The sequence below is a fragment of the Homo sapiens genome, chromosome 5 (genome assembly GCF_000001405.40).
Source record: "Homo sapiens chromosome 5, GRCh38.p14 Primary Assembly".
Classification (NCBI taxonomy): Eukaryota; Metazoa; Chordata; class Mammalia; order Primates; family Hominidae; genus Homo; species Homo sapiens.
In genome coordinates this window covers 123873703-123885564 of record NC_000005.10, presented here as the reverse complement: position 1 = coordinate 123885564, position 11862 = coordinate 123873703, and the positions used below count along the sequence as shown (strand labels likewise).

At 39.3% G+C, this 11862-nt stretch overlaps 3 annotated features.

Moving 5' to 3' along the window:
- Positions 8980-9730: an enhancer, noted in NCBI's record as "OCT4-NANOG-H3K27ac hESC enhancer chr5:123211529-123212279 (GRCh37/hg19 assembly coordinates)". NCBI's record gives its function as "activates a minimal SCP1, AML or CMV promoter by ChIP-STARR-seq in naive H9 embryonic stem cells {active_cell/tissue: H9 hESC(naive)}" and the evidence as "EXISTENCE:reporter gene assay evidence [ECO:0000049][PMID:30033119]".
- Positions 9731-10480: an enhancer, noted in NCBI's record as "OCT4-NANOG-H3K27ac hESC enhancer chr5:123210779-123211528 (GRCh37/hg19 assembly coordinates)". NCBI's record gives its function as "activates a minimal SCP1, AML or CMV promoter by ChIP-STARR-seq in primed H9 embryonic stem cells {active_cell/tissue: H9 hESC(primed)}" and the evidence as "EXISTENCE:reporter gene assay evidence [ECO:0000049][PMID:30033119]".
- Positions 10481-11231: an enhancer, noted in NCBI's record as "OCT4-NANOG-H3K27ac hESC enhancer chr5:123210028-123210778 (GRCh37/hg19 assembly coordinates)". NCBI's record gives its function as "activates a minimal SCP1, AML or CMV promoter by ChIP-STARR-seq in primed H9 embryonic stem cells {active_cell/tissue: H9 hESC(primed)}" and the evidence as "EXISTENCE:reporter gene assay evidence [ECO:0000049][PMID:30033119]".

Below are 11862 nucleotides of genomic sequence, written 5' to 3'. Positions count from 1 at the left end.
TTTTATAAACAGTCAAGGTATATTCAGATTATCTATTGATAAGCAGGTACCATTTTGTTCCTTTTATGTTCTCCTCTGTATTGCAAAATATAAAGACTGGCAACACTATTTTCTATAATCCCAGCCAGCAGATTTCCAGATTGGATTTTACCAATGAGAGGAACTTGCACAGATTTAGAAGGCAAAAAACTGCAGAAGCTATCATGGCTTGGTGCTGGCAGCAGGCAAGAATAGAGGCTTTGGCAAATAGCAGTTTCTAGGCATCCTCCTGGAAGGCAACTATTTGAGTGCCAGAGGTCCCTTAGATCATCTGTAATGGTTATCCTTTCTGATTTCCTGAATGTCAGCTGTGCTGACTTTCACTACGTCAGCTCTTTGAACTGTTCAGTAAACCTCTGCCTTCCTCAAATTCCTCCCTTCTTGAAATGCCTAGAGTAATCTTGTGTTTCCCTATTGAAACTTGACTGAATGTACACAAAATAGGCATTCTGGTGGATGCAAAAATTCAGGCAATAACCATCCCCATTTCTTTTCTTTTTTTTTTTTTTTTGAGACAGAGTCTTGCTCTGTCGCCCGGGCTGGAGTGCAGTGACGCGATCTTGGTTCACTGCAACCTCCGCCTCCCGGGTTCAAGCAATTCTCCTGCCTCAGCCTCCCGAGTAGCTGGGATTCCAGTCGTGTGTCACCACACCCAGCTAATTTTTGTATTTTTAGTAGAGACAGGGTTTCACCATGTTGGCCAGGCTGGTCTTGAACTCCCTACCTCAGGTGATCCACCCGCCTTGGCCTCCCCTAATTCTTGTAAAAAATGCCTGGATATAAAATACGGTTTTTTGAAAAATATATGAAAACAAAGACCTTAAGAATAGAGAAATCGGCCAGACGTGGTGGCTTACACCTGTTATCCCAGCACTTTGGGAGGCTGAGGCGGGCTGACTACCTGAGGTCTGGAGTTCAAGACCAGTCTGACCAACATAGTGAAACCCCGTCTCTACTAAAAATACAAAATTAGCCGGGCATGGTGGTGCATGCCTGTAATCCCAGCTACTTGGGAGGCGGAGGCAGGAGAATCACTTGAACCCGGGAGGCAGGGGTTGCAGTGAGCCAAGATTACTGCCACCACACTCCAGCCCGGGCAACAAGAGTGAAACTGTGTCTCAAAAAAAAAAAAAAGAAAGAGAATAGAGAAATGGATATACACAACTAGGGAAACATAAAACCAAGACTTTAAAAACTGCAGAAAAATAATTGTAGAACACAGAATTTTAATATTATAAACCTTGACACTGTAATATTCAGAATTACCACAATCCAGATTTATTTATAAAAACATATATTTATAAAAACACATATATTTTTATATTTGTATATTCATTGGTCTGTTTTTCCCACTAGAATGTAAGCTCCATGATGACAGGGACTTTGCTTTGTTAACTCATATCCCCAGTGCCTAGAACTGTGCCTGGCATGTATATCCAATGCATATTTACTGGATGAATGAGCACATGAATTTCCTGCCTGAACATACAATATAAAGTATCCCTCTCTCTCCACTTTGCTATGATTTGCTGGTGAATTAGAATAAGCTACCCTCCTCCCACACAGATATTTCTGTGATGCCTTCCTCTATCACTCGACTCAAAGATTTTACAGCAAATTATTATGGAAACTCTCTCATTTTATACATTGGGTTTTGTTTAGCTCTTAGTCATACTGATGGCCTATTTATCTCCCACTATATTTGATAAAGCAAATATTGATATTTTATGTGTGTATGTGTGTGTGTTGTGGTATGTCATATGTTTGTTTAATGTTTTTATCAGAAAATTTGATTATCTTTGACCTTGACTAACCCTGATATCTGAGATAATTTTTCTATTTAGTAAAACTAATTTATGTAGAATGTTTTTCTATTTTTTATTTATTAAGCAAGAGGTTGTAAAATGCTTATTCTTTTCAGATGCTATATTTATCCCAAAAGAGCTGAAAAAGTATCACTGAACTGTCAAAGAAAGGTGGTATGAAGTAGTTTAACTTGAAATATTATTTTGAGAAATATAAAGACAATGTATCTCATTAGATCAATTTTTTTCAAGAAAGAATATAGGACATCCATGTCCCATGTTAAGTTCAGCATCACAGAACTATACTGATTGAGATTCAACCTACTTTCAATTCATAATAAAATACAATTGTTGCTTTTCTTTTAATTTTCAACTAGCAAGTAGTACTCTCTCCATTAACATCAATGGAAAAACAAAAACAAAACAAAACCAGCGTCTCCACTTGGCAGGAAGTATTTATGGCTGTATATAATGCAGATAAGTTTGTTTGAGAATGTAGACAGCATTCTAGACAATCACTAGAGATAGGACCTTAATTTAACCCCAAGCCTGAAGCATTTCCTCTGGGATGTGGATGACTGATAACACGGAGGAGGGCAGAGAAAGTATAGATTTATTGAAAAATGGATGTTGCAAGCAGGGGGTGTTAAATTTCTTCCTCTAAATCATTGTTAGAAGAACAAGCTTAGATTTCTGCTTCAGGATGAAAATCCTAACTGTTGGAAGAGAGAGAAATTTTCAAAATCACAGGTAGCCGGCATTTCTAACTTTCATTTCAAAAGCATTAAACCACATACTTACCTCTAGCTCATCTTGCAATAAGACAGCATGACTACACTTGCTTTTAATATCCTCTACACAAGATTCTTCCGTGATTTTTAATTTAAAGAAAATGAGCCCTTTACTGACAGCTCGATAACCTTTCCCATGGGAACAACAGAAAAAGGTTTCCCGTTCACAGCACTAATGAGCAGTATATAATAGCCAGCTTCTTTAAATGGTGTAGTAAATATATCTTTATTAACAAACATTATGTATTATGTGTTTCTAGATCACAATATTTAAGAATAACCTTTTAACGAAGTGAATAAATAAGCCATAACAGGTTTCTTGCCCTTTACTAAGCAAAATATCAAGAACTTCTGCAAGGGCAGAGGTTAAGTGACTCTTTTATTTACTAATGATAAAGTTAATTGCATGAAACCTAATTCCACCCAGTTGGAAAAAGAATTTTTCTTTTAACACTTGACCCTCACAGTCATTTTTGAGAAATATTGCAATTCTTCAAATGAAGCTTACCCTCATCTCGCCCAATAGGTTTAACTATTGCAAGCAAAGCACTGGCTATATTCCATTTATAATGGCTAGCTAGGAACAGTAAATGTCTACTTCTTACCAGGGCTGCTCAGAGTAGCAGTTTTAATATCATTTAATAGTAAATATTCTTTATTATTCTTTTCACTGTGAACTAACCAAGTGGCACAATTCTGTGGCTAATTATAAAATCGCCTACATTACAGAAGAATTAAAACAGCAAATGAGTCATCTGGAGAGCTGCCATGGTTTTTCTAAAATTCTACACACACTGCACGTGAATTTTAATATGTAATTTTAATTACACAACTCTTCCCAGCAAACTCTTCTCATTACTTAGGCAGTGTGTGTGTGTTTCTTTTACCTTGATTACAAAGTCAAACCATTTTAGCTGAAATTAAAAATATCTGTGTATTTATAGAGAAAACAGAGGGTTGTGTTTTGATAAAGCCTCCAGAGGAGGAGGGCAAAACTTAACCCTGTAAGGAAGGAAGGCTGCCTGGTCTTCATATCAGACAGCGGCTAAGGAAATCCTAAGAGAGTTTGTTACATGAACCAGTGGGTTGAGGCAACCTTTAACGTACAGGAAACTGGAGTTAATTAAACTGTTACCGGGATCCTATCTATCATCCTAGCGTGTGCTCTATCCCAAGTCCATTTACATTTTAGAATTGAAAAAATGTTCTCAGGACTGTTGATAAACCATGTTTACTGTCTCTATTGATTTGCTACTTTTGCATAACCTTTATGTTTTAATTATCTTATAGTATTTCTTGAAGGCTCTTCTGTAGCGGTTGCTATCTGATTAGACTTTACTGGCAATTATTAAACACTAGGAGTACACCTTTTAATGGATTAATCTGCTTCAAAGTTATAAGATGACTACAGGAGTGAAACTGCCAGGAAAAAATAATGTCACCTTACTCAGTGCTATTTTCAAGCCACAGTTATTGTGTTTACTGTAGAGGAGATATGCTCAGATTATATGTGTGGAATCAGGGGAAGGGTCTTTTACATATAGTATGTCTGACACGGCATCTACCATTAATCATTAATCATATAATCAAAATACAAATTTAAAATCTCATGAATTAGCATTCTGTGAAAGAGCTAGAGTTTGACCTTTTTCTGATAATAAATATTTTTACTGAATGAAATTTTTGTTCATTGTAAATTAGAATTGCACAATGTATGTTTATTTCTTCATTTTAACTAACATTTACTGAGTACTTACAATGTATCAGGCATTGTACTAAGAGCTCATTACATGGATCACCTCATGATCATGGACTACATTAGCCCCATTTTACACATGAAAAGACAGAAGCACAGAGAGGTTAAGTAGTTTGCCTCAGGACACACAGCCTACAAGTATTTCAGTACTACAAGTATTACAGCCTGCAAGTATTGGAAACCCAACAGATTTCCAACTTAAAGTATTTGATTCTAGAACTCTGTAGCTTTACTACTAGGCCATACCCTATGGGATATATTTCAGTAATGGAACCCAAATACCACTAAATGAAGAATGACCAGGTCATGTTATGCTTTTAATATTTTAATATCTAAATACTTGCCCAGAGCTTTAATTTGAAGATCCAATTATGACAAACTGGATTCCAAAATTCAAAATAGCTCAGACCCAATTATAATATTGTTTAAAGTTTATGTGCATATATTCTATTTCAAGAAGCTTGACCATTCTGAATGGATTTCTGTAAGAAGATATAACAAGAAAAATTGATTAGATCCTGTCTGCACTTCTAAAACAAACAAAATATGATCCTGAATTTGCTGATTTACCACTATTATCTCAAAGCCAAACATTAACATCAGGAAACATATAGTATTTATCTACACAGTGTTGGTTGTAGTTAACAGGAACCTGGTAACATTTTCCCCAAACACTCTAATGACAATCCTGAGTTGAACCTTCCATTCATTTATTTTAGTTTTGAGTGTGGGAGGGAAGGAAATCCCTGATCTTTCTAGCACAAGTAGTGGACTCACAACCACTAAGTTTCTGGTGGCACATAGGATCAAAGACATCAAGCTCAGTAGGTCATATAAGCCCCTATTTCACCTTCCTCCCATCCATTCCATATTGAGTAAGCAAAACAGAATAGTGCAGTAGTTCTAAGGGCACTCTAAAGCCAGGCTGCCCGGATTCTCAAAGCTCTGCCTCACACTAGCTGCATGACCACAGACAAAATAGCCACTCTGGGGCTTAATTTCGCCATCTGTGAAGTGGGAATCATATATATTGAATATAATTTATGATGAGGATTAAATGAATTACTACTTGTAACGAACTCAGAAGAGTGGCCTATAAATAGCAAGCACAATGTGTTGTATTGCCCTATTATTAGTGGTAGAACAGTATCCTGGGCACTATGCTAGGCACAGTCTTATAACAGTCTTATAACTTTGATCTACTTAGGGATTTAATTTATTGGAAAACTAACAAATTACAGCAATAGCAAGACCTAGACCTTGACCCCACACTGTCACATCTTTTCTCTTATTTGTCTAGCCAGTGTTTATACTCCAAGGGGAACATGGCTGAAAATAGGGAAGGTCTGGATGAAATGTCAGCCTAGAGTGGCCCATTTCCCAAGACCCTCCAGGGTAATTCTGGATATGGTGATGTTCGCATGCTCCCCTGCCTAGTCAGCACCAGGGCAGCATGCAACCTCACTGGCCACACATGGGCTGCTGCCCAAGACCTTTCAATGTAACATTCTGCTTCAGCTGGAAACTTTTGCAGTATCTGCACACTCCCCTAGGAAAACATTGATCTCTTTCACCATGCTCATGGGCTGCAGGTACAAAAACAGGGATCATTTACTGAACCCTTCAAACTGGTTTGCCTACAAAGGAAAAAGAGGCATTCTTATTTTTTTATATCAGTTGATCTTACTCTATTCCAATAATAACCCACCCACAGTTACAAATGCAGAGGAAACTGACAGACAGGCACTGTCTGCCTTGTCATCTAACAGTTCATTGTCTCTCTCCCTCCCTGCACCAGCAGTGATCCAGGATGAGCAGGATATAGGTTGGGCCACGGTTCTCTAGTGCCAGCTCTGCATACCTGTGGATTCAGCAATGCACTCTTTAGCCCCCAGCCCCCCTCAGGAATTCCTAGAGGAGCCCAGCGCTCCCTCTCTTCCTGGCCTGCCTGTGGCCCAAAATACCCTTCCTTGAAATCCAAAGCCCAAAGCTTCCACCTACAGAATATAGGCAATCTGGTCTACTTCCTTTCTCCGTGTTTAACCCCTTACTGATCACTGTAGGGCTTGATGTAGTCCAGCGTTACCTGTTTTATGTGTAATACTGGGGTTTCACAAGATGTATAGGTGGCAGATGGACACACTATTCTACCCTGTATTTTAATAATTACTTATTTTAATATATTTAGATACATTAGCATATCAAAATTATCATTTCATCAATATTCTTGCTTATAATAAATCCAAGAAAACAAAAATAATTTAAAGTTATACAATGGAAAAAGAAAATAATTTTGTGTAGATGATCTACGAAGATAGTACACAAACAAGTGGAGTTTGAGGAAGGCCATTGACCTACCTTAACTATATATATGGTGAACTCAATTTTATGGCTAAGAATAAGAACATTATTCTGCCTGTTCTATATTAGCTGTTTTACTAAAAACTTTAATGAACACTAATGAAATGATACAAATAGATGGCTAATGTTTCTCCTAACTTCTGTTGTTATATTTTCCCTTTTAAAGGGGTATAGTTTGTTGCAATGCTGGAAAAGCTCCATCAGCCCGCCAAATGGGGGTCTGTCCCACAGGCTTGAGATGCCTCTGCAGTCCCCACACTAAGGGACCACCTGGTGACAAGCAGAAAAATGCACTGTTGAACGGCATGCAAACACTGGAGGATTTTCCTCAGCAATGTACCTGTAAGGCTTGCCCTTTGCCTATGCTAATACTTAATTAAAATCTGTTGTCTCCAAAAGGGTGAGGAGAGAAAGATGACTTAGTTTAGGTTGATGGGGTAAATTTGCATTTACAGTCAATTTGTATTTCTTATTAGCAATTTGTTTCTAACTATATTTTACATACTAAGAGAGAAAAAAACCATCCCAAAGGAGATGCTAAATCTTTAGAGGTTGAGGTAGGAAAAGATTGAAGTAACCTTATCAAGTTTTCCATTCAGTTAATTTTTTTTTTTTTTTTGAGATGGAGTCTCACTGTGTTGCCCAGGCTGGAGTGCAGTGGCGCAATCTCGGCTCACTGCAACCTCCCCTTCTCCGGGTCAAGCAATTCTCCTGCCACAGCCTCCGGAGTAGCTGGGCTTACAGGCACACACCACCACACCTGGCTAATTTTTGTATTATTAGTAGAGATGGGGTTTCACCATGTTGGCCAGGCTGGTCTCAAACTCTTGACCTCAGCTGATCCGCCCACCTCGACCTCCCAAAGTGCTGGGATTACAGGCGTGAGCCACTGCACCCAGCCCATTCAGTTAATTCTTTAGGGGCAACATGGAAGAGCTAAAAGAAAGGAAAGTTCTTAAATTACTTTACCTGTTTTGAGATAGGGTTGAACTGAATATGAAAACAACAGCCAGAGCTGGGCTTTTGGCTACTCTTTTTGCAATAATTATGTAAAGAGCTGGTCACAGGTCCATTTTCCTCAACTTGGAGGCAGCCCAGGAGCAGGGAGCCAAGTTCCTGCAAAGCCACACAGTAAGCATGGCACCTCTTCCTGAAGTTCAAGTTAGCTTGATAGTAGATTTTTTTTTTTTTTTTTAGATGGAGTCTTGCTCTATTGCCCAGGCTGAAGTGCAGTGGTGCAATCTCGGCTCACTGCAACCTCTGCCTCCTGCGATTGTCCTGTCTCAGCCTCCCAAGTAGCTGGGATTACAGGTGCCCGCCACCACACCAGGCTAATTTTTTTGTATTTTTAATAGAGACAGGCTTTCACCATGTTGGCCAGCTGGTCTCAAACTTGTGACCTCAAGTGATCTGCTCACCTCGGCCTCCCAAAGTGCTGGGATTACAGGCGTGAGCCACTGTGCCTGGCAACAGTAGATTTTAAATCATTTTTATATTAAGATGATATCAACACATACTGGAACTGAAAATAAATTACTCAAGAATTTTTAAGATAAGTCTCTAAATCTGAAGGAAATATTGAGCTTGTAACAGACCTTTTTAGCCTAAACTCTTTCTAATTCCTGGAGTGGAGGCCGGGAGGGGAGATACAATGTTTCCCTTTCCTCTGCTCTTAAAAGGACTTGGATGGACAAATGTTCAGTGTCTCTGATGCTCCCAACTATTCTCATCTGTCACTGCCTTTTCAGTGCTTCCAGCTCCTTGAAGAGAGCCTGTAAAACTCTCTTGGGGGAGAGTTGTGGGGCAGGTCTGCAAAGATATTCTCAGCATCTGCAAGAGCCTATATTTGAGAAACCCGTCCTTAGAGATTTCTCTCCTCCCCATAAGAAAGCTCTAATATGAGCCCTTTCTAAGCCAACATGAATTTCATTCTACTTTAGCTCTCCGAGGCTCACTTACGTTTCACGCTTTCTCTTTTCTCATACAATTAAAGACTTTGCCCCCATTAAAGGGATTCTTGGCTTCTGTGGGCAAAAAAGCTCATCTCTCAGGACCTGCTTCTGTGTATGCCCCTCCCGCAAACAGCCCCTTCTCTCTCCAGACTCTGGAATATTATATCTGGCAACAGGCTTAAATTTGGAATTCCATCCTGTTTTCCCTAGATAAATTTGAGCTAGTTGGCTATCAGACTCTCCTCTCTGCCCATCTCACACTCCTTGGGTTGAGGTACTATCCTGAAGGAATTTTGACTAGTTCTGCCTGGTGCCTCAGCCCAACTCACAAGGCAGAGAGTCCTTTAAATATTCATATTCCGCTCCTGGAGTGATCATTACTATTCCAGATCAGAACTGTTCTCATGCATTTAAATGTCAATAGTTCCCAGCTTAATTCATTAGTCATCCATTCAAGTAGGTGATCCTATAACCAACCTATTTGCTTGTCAGGGTCTCCCAGTCTGCGCCAAGAAGGGTGATTTCCTTAGCACTGATGAAATTGAGACGCAGTTCTTTTATTTTAACTGTAAATATGAATTAGGTGCTTGGTACACATTAGTGGTTTTAAAACCATCCCTTTGTAATGTAATTTGTCATAGTGTCTTCATCACCATGACAACTGGACGGCCTTCACTGTTCCCTCTGAAAGGAAAGTTGAAAACAATGATTAAAAAGAAGCCATATTTATTTACATTTTGTTTCCATAGAGGTGGGGAGCCAGAAACAGTTTGGGTCTATTACCTAGCAAGTTGTAAATGCAAAGATGTCAAAGCTTATTATGCATGTGTCCTCTCTGGTGGCAGAGTGATTACACAGAACACTGTTCCCTTAGCTGTCTTCTTTGGGCCCAAGCTCAGAGGCGGTGCCCCACACAACAAAGTGTCGATAGTCAGCAAGCCTCTAGGAAGTGCTGCTGTGGCTGGTTACAGATCAACCCTCCTCTCTGCGAGCGTCCCTGGGACAGGATTTAACCCTCTCCTCTCTCAGGATCTTTGTCTTGTTTATGCTATTAGTACTGTTGCTTTTCTTTGTTTCTTCCTTTTTAAAAGTTTTTCATTTTCTCTAGCTCTCTCCTTCCCAAGGGATGTCTGTCAACAGGCTCTCTCAAGGTCAATCTTGTTACATGGACCTGACACAAGCAAACTTTACCCCTCCCTCGCCCCCACCTCTGTTGTCACAAGCCCGGATGACTGGGCAGCTCCTCCTGTGTTCAGGACTGAGATTCAGAGGTGCAATTCTCAGCCCAGTGTCCAGGAAGGCGAGAGGATTCCTCTCTTCTTCCCCATCTCTTCCCTGTTCCCCAAAAGAGTGCAATATTGTATCTGTTGAACTTAACACTGGCAGCCACTAAAAAAGAGTTCCAGAATTAAAATGCATTCACCACTGGCATGGAAAGAACAGGACGCGGAGAAAGATGAGAACTGTTAACCTTTATTCATCACATTCAGTTTCCCCAACATTAAAAGGCGCAGCATTTTCTAACAAAGGTGATTTCTGAATACCAGGACCTGACGGTTTTTTACATACCAATTATAGAACACAACAGATAAAATTTATATGGAGCATTTGTGTCTGTAAGTCCTGTGAAATTTGGGAAATTAAGAAGGTTTTGCCCCCCTCCTTTCTTTCACTAGCATGTGAAAGCATTCTTTTCCTGCTAAATGGATTTAGTCTAACTGCCTAATTCATTATGCTAAAACCATGAAGCAATTTCCTGTTCAAAGCCCAGCTCACAGGCTCTCTGTTGTCAAGTATTTGAATTTCAGATTAGAAATGTGTTCATTTGGATAGCTTGAAAGGAAAGCTTTGTTGTCAGCTTGGCTTTATGTTCTGCCAGGAGCCAAATCCCTCCTCTTCAGCAGTCACCAGCAAAATACCAGATCTCAACTCCGGACTCAATATCTTGAAACAAACACAAACACCTCTGGCCTCTGTGGTCAAAGCAACGGCTTGAGGTTTGCTTTCCCTCCCTAATAATAAAATTATCTCAGATGATGATTTCTGACAGATAGGAGCAAATGTTTAGAGTTTCCACTCCACCTTCCCCGCCATTCCACCATCACCCACCACACATTCTTTTTAAAAAGCAGGCAGGAGTATTTCTGCCAGAATGTCCTTCAGAGTGGCTTAGTTCTATGAGTAACTGAGACATTTGCTACAGAGCAGTGAACTGAAGTGGGGGCTGCGTTTTTGTCAACCTTCAGCTGTCATTTACACTGTGCAGCACTGTCCCATCCACTTGCCATTTCCAGTGATTTTTTTCCCCTGATTGATCTTCGAAAAATATATACAGCTGCTCAGAAAGTCAAAGGTCATGTTTTTTAGCTGAAGAAACAAAGTCCAGGGGGAAAATGCCCTGATACATCTAGAAGAAAAAAAAAAGAAAATATGTACGTGATTGGCTACTAATCATGGAAGCTCTGATACTGGGTAGGAATTCAGGCAACTATTTCTTGTACAAATTTTTTGAATTTTCGAAGCTGCAAGATTCTAATACGCTGTCACACTTTGGTACTTTGGTTCCACCATAACCATCTAATTATTATTAATCAATAAATATTTATTGAGGTTTCTTTTATCCAGTTACAAATATATTTCTTATCACAGATGACATTATGCAGTATTTTGGGTTGTTGCTGATATTGACAGCTAATATTTGTTTGGTGCTTTATGGTTTTCAAAGTGCTTTCAGCAGCATTACCTCATTTTATTCTTTCAGATGTTTCTCATCACAGTCCACAGTTTATGAATGTGGAAACCAGTCAATCTTTACATTGCACAAGGAGAATTAAGTTGCAGAAGGAGGAGTTTCAAACATAGATCTTTGACTATGAGAATGTTTTCATTAGTCCATCCTGACTCTGCTGCTTACTTCAGCCTTTAAATAGGGAGAAGCTATCATCATATCCTCTCTGTGGTCTTATTCTTAGGCTAAATACGATGAAACGATTAGCCTTGTATCTATTTGGCTTATTCTAAATTACAGAAATTTTGTGTCTGTGCATAATGACAGTGCTTCTAAGTAATTTGAGGATATCCATTGCTTTCAGTTTGAAAATAATGGTCTCTATGTGGATTTAAACTGCAGGCCAAATTTAATTATGCTAGAGAAAAGC